The following is a 12,394-nucleotide window of genomic DNA, read 5'->3' as shown; positions in this document are numbered from 1 at the left end:
TGGTTTAAAAAATTATTTTTAGAAGAATACAACTTTATTTTAAATTTTATTTTCTTAAAAAAGTTTTAATGCCTCAAATAAGATGTATTTTGATTTTCTTTCCCTCCCTTTTTTAAAGCAACCTAGTTCTTTACTTTTATCTTTAAATAAATTGTAAACAAATTTCTACCTTTTTTAGGCACAGTCTTCACAAATTCTTTCCTCCTTTCCTCTAAAACGTGGAGGTTCCTGCACTAGAAATGGAGACATATTAATAATACTTAAGCCATCCGAGAACACCATGAAATGAGTCATTCTCAATGGCTACACTTTTCTGATACCCTTTAGACTTAGGCAAAAATCCTATTTTGCATAAACATTTAGGCCGGCTTAACTTGAGTTAACCCTTTTGTGAATAGACTGTTAATATCATTGCCAGATTGTAAACTCTAATTAATAGTCTCACTCCTTTAGGTTCTAGCCAGTACAATGACCAGAGAAAAATCTCAGTATACATAGCATTTGTTGAATAAACATGTGAAGTGAATGAATGAATAAATGCAGTACAATGATGCTCTTAGGTTCTATTGAGGCATATGGAGCTCCTTTTCTCTTACACTAACTGGCCCCAAGCTGCTATGCTTTTAAGTGTTTGAGTCTGCTTTGCAGTGTTTCTTTCTTTGCCCTTCCTTAGGTTCTCTGATGTCACTTGTTATCATTGTGTATGTACCTATCTCTAGAAGTCTTTCTCTCTTAACTTGCTACTTCTCATCAACTATGACTTTGGGACCAACATGACTAAGCTGGTTATGGCAAGTACACAACAACTCTGAGTGAATTTCTGACTGACTTCGCCACTGTTTAATGTACCGTTTGTGGATTTGAGCTCCTTTTTGGTTGCTCAGACATTGTCCTCACCCACTTACCCACAGTTCATACTTCTATTTCAGATAGTGAGATAGCCAGTAGCTTATTTCTACATGAATGGAATGACGTGCTAGTTATTGGAGCAGAATTGAAATAAACTACCTGTACTTTCCAGATGGCAACACCTTTTATCTGAGCCCAGGGACTTTCACACTTCCAAAACACGTATGACTCCACGTAATTCATGACAATTCAGAGGATATAGTATTTTACTCATAGCAAAGCTAATATATTATTCATGGCAATCCCCAAAAAAGGGCTATGTGGTATTAGCACAGATACAATCACCTACAGCTCTCACCCTGAACCCCCATCTCTCTTTCAACAATTTTTGATGCCATTTGCATCAGCGGTTTTGTTATATAACAAACTACTCTGAAGTTAGTGGCTTAAAACAACAAGCATTTAACATTTCTCATGCATCTACAGGACATCTGGGTGGTTCTGAGGATGTGAACTGAACTTACACATGTATCTACAGTCATCTGTGGATGGCCTGGGCAGTTTTGTTAGTCTTGGGCTCTCTCTCACATATCTGGGGTCTTAGGGCTGGGACTAAGTAGGCTGACTCTGCTCTGCCCCATAGGTTGCACCCTTGAGCGGGCTAGCCTGAGCATTCTGTATGGAAAAGGTAGAGAAGCAAAAGAGAGAAGAGAAGCACACTAGGTTTCCTGAGACCTAGACTCTGGAACTCACACGTCACTTTTGCCACATTCTATTGGTCAGTTCGTTATGAGAATAGCCCAGATTCAAGGGATGAGCAAAAGGACTCCTCATGATGGAAGGAATTACAAAGTCACACTGCAGAGGATGTGGATCCAGGGAGAAGTCGGAAATCTGAGCCAATTTGCAATCAATTCAAGCATTACTGTTTAAAAAAAAACAATAAAAAACACACTATTCATTATATTCCTTATCTTGTTTTTTCTATTAATATGGTTACCATTCATTTGTTTTACATTTTCCCCCGATTCCCATCCCCTCACCATTTGATAAACAATATCTCAAAGAGGAAATGAATTTCTCAAAATGCATTTTTATATTTACCAAAAGGAAAGGAAAGTTTTGTGATTATTTTCTATAAAGGAAGGGCAAAAACTCATGTTCTTAAAGGCTGTTTTGCATCTGACTTTCTTTGTGAGTTGGGCATGGTCAAGCTTGCTGTTGCCTTCGATCTCAGTAAAGCCATAGGCATGTTTGTCCCAGCGGAATAAGCACTGGGTAAGGAATGCAGCAGGAAGTTGATAACATAGATGTGAGTGTGATATTTTAGCCGCGAGTTATGCAGAGCCCCCACCTGGAAAACAGGATAATCAGATAGCTGTGCTGATCTCCAATAGCTTGGTCTGGAATAACTCCCATGTTAATAGTGTTCCCTGATGGTTTTCAGCCAATGCAAGCACATTTGCTATTCCCAAGAGATGTTTAGGTAGCATAATTTTTTTTTCTTATCAATCGACATAAAGATTTCTAAGAATTGCCCTAGAATCTCTTGGAAATAACGAAGTCGTTTTCATTCCTTATGCCCTGACTTGCCCTCATCTGATCAGAAAAAGTGATGTTTAGTGTTTTCTATGAGCATAAGTAGGTTAGTGATTTTATTATTACTGAAAAGAGGAAGTGATATTTAGCAATCAAGGGATCTAACATAATGCTAAACTTGGTGATTTCTTTATAATCGAATGTAATTTTAAGATTTATGAAGATCTTTTGGACTTTATTTCTTATATAAATCAAGTTTGCTGTCTTTGGAGCAGTCCTCTATGAAGTAGGAAGAAAATACTTCGGGCTATTTTCAAAAGTCAGATAAGCACAGTCTTCATGTCATTAGTTCTTCAGAGTAAAATCTAGAAAATAAGCTCACAGTGGCCTCTGCTCATGTACAACATTTCCTAGTATTTTTTAAATCCAAGAAGAAGTGTATTTCAGGATTTAGTTTCTTCTTATAATTTATAGCATCCCACTTCCTTGAAAATTATGAATCTATTAGCAATAAGTATTAACTGGAATATCCAATTACTTAGACTACCTCATTCCCCAACCACTACAACAAGATAATAAAGGCTACAAGTTTAAATGAATCTCAGGCCACTTGGTTGATCATTTTTCCAGGTTTTAAAAATCTCTAGTGGTCAGATTTCCTAGCCTCTGTCAACACTTTGTTTTTTGCCCAACTGAATTTATGGTTGAGAAATTTAGCTCCTTCCTCATGCAATCTTATTACACACAGACACACACACACACACACACACACACACACACACACACAAAACTATAGACAACAGCTGGCCATTCTCTGAAAGACAGAAATTGTTTATAAATAAAATAAATATAAATGAAAAAGTAGACTTAATAAATATTATTGAGTCACCCTACAGCCTTCTTTTCTCCAAGCAAAATAATTCCATTTTTTGATAGGTTCTATTTTATCATAATTTAAAAGTAAAAATGAGCATGAATCAGATTAACCAGTGTTTCTAAACTAAGATACCAAGCTACTTAAATGGTATAAACTAGAGATTTATGTTACCACTGTTACCCAGCTATTCTTGGTACATAATTTGTACCTAGCATAATTGCTTTGAAAATATCCTTAGTTTTTGGCCGGGTGCGGTGACTCATGCCTGTAATCGCAGCACTTTGGGAGGCTGAGGCCGGTGGATCACCTGAGGTTGGGAGTTTGAGACCAGCCTGACCAACATGGAGAAACCCCGTCTCTACTAAAAATACAAAATTAGCCAGGCGCGGTAGCGCATGCCTGTAATCCCAACTACTCAGGAGGCTGAGGCAGGATAATCGCTTGAACCCGGGTGGCAGAGGTTGCGGTGAGCTGAGGTCGTGCCATTGCACTCCAGCCTGGGCAACAAGAGCAAAACTCCGTCTCAAACAAAAAGGAGAGAGAGAGAGAGAGAAAGAAAATATCCTTAATTTTTTATACCTAGTGTAATCTGCTAGTGTAGTATAAAGGACATGGAGTTTGTCCCCAGAAAGATGTGGATTGAATGTTGACATAGTCACCCAATAGTTATGGGTACTTTTCCTTCTCATTCATCTTCGTTCAGACTGTTTTCTTATCAACAAAATTAGGATAAAACGGCTACCTTGTAGTGTTGCTGAGGGATTAAATAAAGTGTATGTAAAATGTTCGGCATAGTAGGAGGTGTTTACCAAATGTTGGCTATTTCTATTACTGCCATTTATTTTAGGTAATGTCCTTTCCCTCCATGGCAGCACCTGTTGACTCCCACAGGAACATGTCATGCCCACACCCCTATGCATTTCCTAAATAGTGGAGATCGTAACCGGTTGACTCATTTAGAACAAGGGCTATCACAGAAGCATGAGCATATATGCCCACAATTGCTCACAATTGCCCACAATTGCCCATATTGCCCACAATTGATGATACTCAATTGTGAAGTTAGAACATGAAAGTTCAGTAGACGTGGAACAAAGATGTCACACTGGGGCTTCTTCGTTTCTGAAATTCTGTCTATGACATTAAGTTGCCCTCCCTGTCCCTTATATTAGTGTTGTGAGGATCAACAGTATTCAGCACAGAACTTAGTCTTCAGCTTTCACTTCCCAATCCATAAACCATGAAGTGTTTGGCATATCATATACAGAAACACAGAGTGTCTCAACCCCACCGGGGTAGAGAAAATTGTTACTAGCTGAATTTACCCTTTAATACAAAGATCAGTAACACAGACACAAAGAAAGCTCATTCATTTTAATAGTTGAGCACAGTTTTAAGAATTCCCCGTAGGAATTATCTCCCAGGTCCCCCGCTAGAATTATTCACATACAAAGCCTGCAAGTATTCAAATTTCACAAACACAATTGCAAAAGCAGAAGAACTAAGAAAAACCTTCATAGTCTTAAGATTAAAAACAATGCTTCATCATTCTTAGAGTACCTGTTAATAAATGCTAAATACTAAGTGCTAAAAAAAAAAAAAAAAAAAAAAAGCTAGGCTGGCAGCTGGCTGCTGGTGGCTGGCAGCTGGTGGCTTGAGAGAATAAAAAAGGAAACTTTTATAATGACAAGCACTCTTATATTCATTTTTTATCTCATAACTGGATAACACAGGGCAGATCTCTCTACTTTCATAACTTAGTTGGTTTTGAAGATAGAAAACCTTGGAGAAACACTCTCGGAGCAACAAATGAAGCTGGTTTTAATTATGCACATAGGTTAGAAAGGGCCAATATTCTCAGACTCCTTATAACTGAGGTACCCTCTCCAGTTCATACTTTGGTGTAAAGAATTGAAACAATAAACAGAGCCTGACTCATAGTAATAACACAATAAATATCTGTTGAATAGATGAATTGATACCTGAGGTGCAGTGTGAACAGGCTGGACCTAAGTGTCTCTAAGCAGAAACCATCCTGGTACATTTCAGAAAGGCTATATTCGCACAGCAGGCCTTATTTGTCAGACCTACCCTCAGTGCCCTGAGGATTCTGGGAGACGAAAGGAATAGTAGTATGACAAAGAACAACTGAGTTCTTATTTAGTTCATCCTAGTCCCTTGAATAATCCCCCTCAGCATCAAAATTTGTGACCAGATTTTAAAAGATTCAATACCATAGATAATCAAAACAACATCAATATGTGTATACCTCCTTCAATTATATTCTATACATATCAAACTTTAAGAAATCTGGGGCAGGGAATGACCAATATGAGACCCCCTTCCCCTCTCTCTCCCTTTTGCCTTTTTTATTTTCTCTCACTCTCCCATTCTCTTTTCTCCTTATTTCCTTTTCCTCCTAAACCAGTCTTCTGCCCTTCCCCCAGCTCTTTCTCCTTCTTCCTCATTACCGAAGTTGAAGAGTTCTAAACATTTGTGGCTCCAAGGGGTGGGGCAAATAAAACTGGTTTTAGTTCCCAGAAATGGGAGCAGTTCTAAGAACAAAAAGAAAACCCTGCTCTTGGCCACACTAACAGTGATTTAGAGACTCTCTCTTGAACATATATTCAGAACATACTATTGAGTGTGAATTTGATCTCTGTATAGAGATTTTTGTTTCTGGGTTGTTAATTTTAGGATGATGATGATGATATAATACAAATAAACCATTAGTCACACAGATGCGATCCATTTTGTGTGTGTATTTACGGAAAATAAGGGGTGGGTGTTATTTAAAACAAATGACCATATCAGATACATATTTGTCACAATTCCTAAGTTCAATATTCATAAGGGCTAGCTGGAGAAGACCACTTTGGGCAGGAAATTAGTCTGCATTTATTTTATAGCACAAGGAGCAGGACTAGATGAGCCAGAGTCATGGCAGGAGGTTAATTCTCCACCTCCAACCCTCTTTTTTCATGCTTCAAATAAGAATGTGCAGAACCCTTCAGGCAATCCTATTGGTTAGTATCCTTAGCCTGTTCTTGACCCTAGGGAGAATCAGATTCCTTTGGTCTATGACAGTAATAGAAGTTATTTCTTTAGATAAATTTTGTTTAAGGCTTTAAATTAATTCTATCTTGGCATTGTGTGGTTCTAAATTCATTCATTCATTTAACAAAACTTACTTGAGTATCCGCTCTCTGCCAAGCACAGTGGTAAATGATGAGTATTACATTAACTCCAATCAATCCAATATTCTTCTGTAGAAAGAACATCTGGCCCAGTTACCCTGCTGTATTAGTAAACTGGAGTATGCTCAGATGTCAATACTGTCACTAATAAGTGTTGAGACACTCTCAACATGTATTATGTCCTAATGATCTGGAAAATTTCCTTCAGTATGATAATAATGATGGCAAAAATGACACAAAGTAGAAATATATAGCTACTCCTTGGTTTCCTTCTTCTTTTGGGGAATATAAAAACTGATTTTGAGGATTCTGAGGCAGCTCAGTATTGTGGAAAGAGTATCAAACCTGGAGTAAGATGGGCTAGATCTGGTCACAGTTTCATAATCTTAGGGAAGTTACTGAACCTTTTGATCCTTTCCCTTTTGATTCTAAAATTGAGTCCAAGAATCTTTTCCCTAACTTCCACTGACATTACTGAGAGGAAAAAAATGAAATAATGTTTGTAAAAGTGCTCTCAAAACCATAGAGCTCCACATAAATGTAACTTATCACTATCAAACAATCTTTGACATTCCTTTAAGGGAAAACCATTACATTATAGTTTCTTTTTGTCCATTTTTAAGCAGGGGGTATTTATATTATCAATTAGCATTATTTGAGCATTTGGCAGCACAACCCACATTTATTTCCTCATGGAAGAGACAAGTTAGAAGTTTTCCTTGTTGAAAATGAAATGCACTCCCCGAGGGCCAGACTCAGAGTTGGAGATGCTTTGTTTACTCAGGGTTTCAGCCAAGGCTTCAGGTCCACAGAGGAAAACTCCTATTCTGGTACTTTTGGGAAAGAAAAAAAAAGACAATTTCAAGCTTTGGGATGAGATGTCTACAAAGCAGGTAGGTGAATTTCCCGTTAATTTGAGGCCCCAGGGCAGAGTCCCCTCTGCTCCTTTTTCTTTTCCACAAATAGCAAAGGGATCATATTGCTCAGAGGGAGTGTGGTTCAGCCTGTTTGTGTGAGCATCTGGATAGTTCAAAAGGTAGTTGACTTCCCTGGCAAAAGTAAAATCCAACCAAGGTTTTTGGAAACTTCTATCACAGAGAAAATGGTGGTGAATTCATGAGTCCGTGGGCTACTTTCCTTCAGGGCTCTGTGCCCCCTGGCATCTTGAAATTAGGAACAAGCTAACTATGCCAACCACTCAGTGTGGCTTCATTTCTCTAAATTTTAGAGTCTGAAGCCCTGTTCAAAGTGTGGTTTCTGATCAGTAGCCTTGGCGTCAGCTTTTTAAAAAATGCAGATTACCTGGCCCTACCTCAAATCTTCTAAATTGGTATCTGCATTTTAAAGAGATCCCCAGGCACTTTGTATGCTCCTTACAGTGCAAAAAGCAATAGTCTGAAGGGTACACGTATGGTGATCTCTTGAGTTTCTTAGGTGTTCTAGCAAGATAAGGGATCCCCCTCAAGGTTTTATAATGACTAAAGTTTTAGTGAGAGCAGAAAGCACCTTGAGACATCTGTCAACTTAAGATTTTAGACCCAGAAGCTTTTAGAACTGAAAGTGGGGACAGTGTCTTCTTAACAATATGTATAAATTATATTGAATCTTTAAAAGAAGTAGATACACTAATGAAATTTAGGTGACTAAAGAAAAGAACTAAGCTGTGGCCCTACTTGGGACAGGCAGGTTGAGAAAATCTGAGATGGGGACCTGGAAATACTTGTTTTTAATTAATCTCCAGGTAATTTGGTATAATTTAAAGATCCTTCTTAAAGTTGAAGATATCTGGAATCTTCTGTTGGGCATGAATTCAATCTTTATATAGTAATATACATATTTGAGTTTCTAAAATATATAAGTTTAGATATGTATAGGGGCTGCCGCTTTAGGCAGATGCAAGCCTCAAAAACATCTTGGTGACAGACTCCTTACTTAGGGTGTTGACTTGCAATTGTCTTGAATTCATTATCCCAGTTGGGCCGTCCATACAAAGTCTTTTGTTTCAGGCCTGTGATCACATCTTTCTCCTCATCATGGTGCACAGCAAAGTGATTGGCCTACAGGAAAGGACATGAATTCAGAAAAAAAAGAGACATTCTGTAAAAGCACATACAATGTATTTACATCCTTCACAAGCTATTCTAACCAAGGCACCCTGCTGGATGCTGAAAGGTAAACAAAGATAAATAAACTGGATCTCTCTCAAGCAATTTACAGTCTAGAAAGGGAGACTTCGAAGTATAAATATAAATAATCCCATATGTCGAACAGGGTATGATGTGTGTCATGAAGGAGGCACAAGCGTCCTAATGAGAACAAAGAAGGAAGGTGAAGTGGAAGAATAGGGGAAGGGTTAGGGCCGCAGTATTTGAGTCAGGCATTGATGGATGAATAGTGTCTCACTGTTTTTCTCTCTGCTCTATGTTTGACTTTTTCTCTCCACCCTAATATACTTCCACTCCTTTGGGAGAATTACTAAGAGATGTAACAATTTTAGACTAAAATGCAGCAATACTTTGGTAGCATAAGACATCAAATCAAGCCTAAAGCTAGTGTGTGTGTATGTGTGTGTGTGCACGCACATATGTGTATATAGTCACATACTGTTTTTCTGCTACCATTCTAGGAGGCTTCAGTTTGAGCAACAGGTATTTTTCATAAAAGTGGTTAATTAAATTTATTTTTAAAAAGCAAATCAGATTTGAAATTCACTAGATGGATGATGGTCATAGAGGAGGTTAAGAAAGGTGGGCACTCCAATTTAATAATTCTATAGATATCAGTTTTGCAAAGCAAAATAATTACTTTTTCAATACAAATAAATAACTGATTTAAAAAAGAAACCTGTGCATGGCTTTTAAAATAACAGAACAGTAAAGCAATTTATATACTATAGATTTTTTTCCTGAGTTTTATTTTTATCAAAGCATTTTTGTTTTGTTTTTAAATTGCAGAACTGGCATTTTGAAACCACTTTTTATGGAGCAACAATTCTTATCGTTATGTTTCCCTAATCTATATTTGCTACAAGATTCCTTTAAGACTTGGAGAATCTGTGATAAACAATATGTTGAAACCCAAATGGGAATTCAGTCTTCACAGTGACAGGGTGCACATGGAAGATTCCCAGGGTTGTGGAGTCAATGTCTATGTATGCCCAGTTGCTACAGTTTGAATGTATCCTCTCCAAAATTCAGATGTTGCCTATGTGATAGCATTAAGAAGTGGAGCCTTAAAAAGGTGATTAAGACATGAAGGATCATCCCTTATGAATGAGTTAAGGGCTTTGGAAAAGAGTCATCACACAGTATTTGACGAGCCTTCCCTTTTTCTTTCCACCATGTGAAAACACAGTATTTCTCCCACCCAGAAGATGCAGCCTTTGCTAGACAACCAAACCTGTTGGTGTCTTGATCTTGGACTTGCCAGCCTCCAGAACTTTGAGAAAATAAATTTCTGTTCTTTACAAACTACCCAGTCTTGGGTGTTTTGTTATAGCAGCACAAATGGACTAAGACACCAGCTGAGACACTGGACAGAAATATGCAGAGACTCTTGCCTTAGCTCCTCACTCATGGTGATAGCTTATGCTGCTTCCAGGCCAAGTCATTAACGTTTGCTTACTTACAAAGATGTTACCACTCCAGGAATCATTACCTTGTTTCAGGGTTTGTCAATTTCAGCACTGTTGATATTTGGGACTGTATAATTCTTTGTTGTGGGGGGCTGTCTTTTTAATTGTAGGATATTTACATTGCCAACTGTCTCTGGTGTGTGTCTTGGGGAGGAGCAGAGCAAAATTGTCCCAGTTGAGAACTATTGGCTACTTTATTATAGTGGTCTCCAAACATTTTTGAAAGAGCACTCTCATTGTACACACACATACACACACACATACATGCATATATATCACATTCATTAGATATATAGTAATTTATTTATAAATGATAATCATGAACTACTGCAAGATGCTGAAAGGACAGGCTCTGGCACATTCTGTCTCTGTCACTTACTTGTTGGGTGCTCTTAGGAAAATGACCTAACCTGGTCTGAGTTTTTTCATCTGTAAAGTGTGGAAAATAATAAGAGCTACTTCATAGGGTTGGTGACATGATAAAATTAGACAATCTATGTGACTAGATACATAAGAATAATACCTGGCAATATATATGCATAATAATTATAAATGTAGTGAGTATATTATAAAACATACAAAAGCATATAAATTAAATGATTTTATAAATACATATATACATAGTACATATAAATATATATGATACATATATAAATACATATTAAAATATATATATACAGAATCCTTTATATGCTTATGTATGTTATATAAACAGATGCTCCTCAGCTTACAATGGTGTTATATCCTGATAAAACCATCACTAAATTGAAAATACCATAAGTCTAAAATGGGTTTAATACATCTAACTTAATAAACATCATAGTTAGTTTAGTCTAGACTACCTTAAATGTGCTCAGAACACTTATATTAGCCTACAATTGCACAAAATCATCTAACATGAACCCTATTTATAATAAAAGGTTTAAGACCACATGTAATTTATTGAATACAGTACTGAAGTATGGCTTGTACTGAAGTATGGCTTCTACTGAATGCATATTGCTTTCACTTCATTGTAAAGTTGAAAAATCATAAGTTGAACCATTATTAAGTTGGGGAGTGTCTGTTTTACACACACACACACACACACACAGAGACAGAGAGAGAGAGACAGAGAGACAGAGAGAGAGACAGAGAGAAAGAGAAAGCTAAATTTTCCCCAAAATAACCCTGTGCATCATCTCAATCACCTGGTTTCAGAGTGCCTGGTGGGAGAATTGCTCTAATAATGTCAAAGTGATGGCTTTTATTCCCTCACAGGCTCCTTGGCTTTGATTCTAATCTGAGCAGTCTAAATATAATGTGGCGATACTAAATGAGAGTGAATGGACCGGATCACCAAATCCACTAAACATACTTAGAAAAAATAGTACACAAGACACACCAATAACCAAGGGGAAGTTCGTAAGCCCTGTACACTATGGGAAGGACCTGAGCCTTGGAGTCTTGTCCTTACCTGAGACTCATCCCAGCCAGTGAGGTAGATGTTGTAGCTGAGGAAGCCGGCATTGTTCCTTTCCTGCATCTGGCTCTCCAGCAGTTGCAGCAGATCTGCAAACCACTCAAAGGCATGTGTGTCCCGGCACAGCCAGTAGAAGTAGATCTGAAAATGGGGTGGATCATGAAGCAGATTATATTTGGCAGGCCCTATCAGCATTACCATGTGGAATTCCACTTTCTGTCACCTAAACTTTTTCTTGATGCTCAGAATGCCTAGAAACATAGATTTTCAGAAGGCTCTGGACATTTCACAGGGTAGTTTACATGAACCTGCTCTGGCCTTCACTCTAGCAGGGCAGTAAATAAGTAACTTGACCTCAGAAATACACAACTTAAGAAAAAACTATTAGCCCACCAAATTTCCCTCTGAGTCTGCTCTTACTCTCCCAGAATCTCTGGCTTCCTTCGAACCTCTTCTCAGAAAGCCTGATGGAATCTAGACTAGCAGGGATTGCCACAGAAATTCTTCCCTGGCTGCTACTGCCAGACATTCATGAGTTCCGAGGGGAAAAATAAGGTTCTATGCACATCTCCTCCACATGGAAAAGAGGTACAGGGAGAATGAAAAGTCAAGGTAGGCTTAATGTCCCTATTAGAGTTTATCTTTACAGTTATTAGAATGGCCTGAGGTTTATTTAGGATGCCCTTTATTACACAATAAAACCAAATTTATAGGTAACCAAAAAATCTCCTGTGAATTGATCCTGAGGAGATATTCATAAGTAGAGTTTCAGGTCTCCTCTCCTCCCTTTGCAAAAAAAGTATTGGGTGAGTGGAGGGGGTGGGGCGCGGCTGGAA

The 12,394-nt window shown here is 37.9% G+C and overlaps 1 protein-coding gene across 2 annotated transcripts in view, besides 1 other annotated feature; it reads right to left on the bottom strand.

The window, feature by feature from the left end:
* Nucleotides 4,147-4,346: an enhancer, noted in NCBI's record as "active region_29520". NCBI's record gives its function as "activates an Ori minimal core promoter by ATAC-STARR-seq in GM12878 lymphoblastoid cells {active_cell/tissue: GM12878}" and the evidence as "EXISTENCE:reporter gene assay evidence [ECO:0000049][PMID:35858748]".
* CYBB (cytochrome b-245 beta chain) overlaps nucleotides 4,625-12,394 on the bottom strand; it is a 33,403-nt gene continuing 25,633 nt past the window's right edge. For both annotated transcript variants that reach the window (NM_000397.4, XM_047441855.1), the window contains 3 exons: nucleotides 11,553-11,699; nucleotides 8,395-8,519; nucleotides 4,625-7,295 (listed from right to left, as the gene is read on the bottom strand). In NM_000397.4, coding sequence (NP_000388.2) covers nucleotides 7,169-7,295; nucleotides 8,395-8,519; nucleotides 11,553-11,699 — 399 coding nt within the window. In that variant the 3' untranslated portion in view covers nucleotides 4,625-7,168. The remainder of the gene's footprint in view (nucleotides 7,296-8,394; nucleotides 8,520-11,552; nucleotides 11,700-12,394) is intronic.

Source organism: Homo sapiens, chromosome X, assembly GCF_000001405.40.
Source record: "Homo sapiens chromosome X, GRCh38.p14 Primary Assembly".
NCBI lineage: Eukaryota > Metazoa > Chordata > Mammalia > Primates > Hominidae > Homo > Homo sapiens.
The sequence above is the reverse complement of the archived record's forward strand: the minus strand, read 5'-3'. Positions and strand labels throughout refer to the sequence as shown.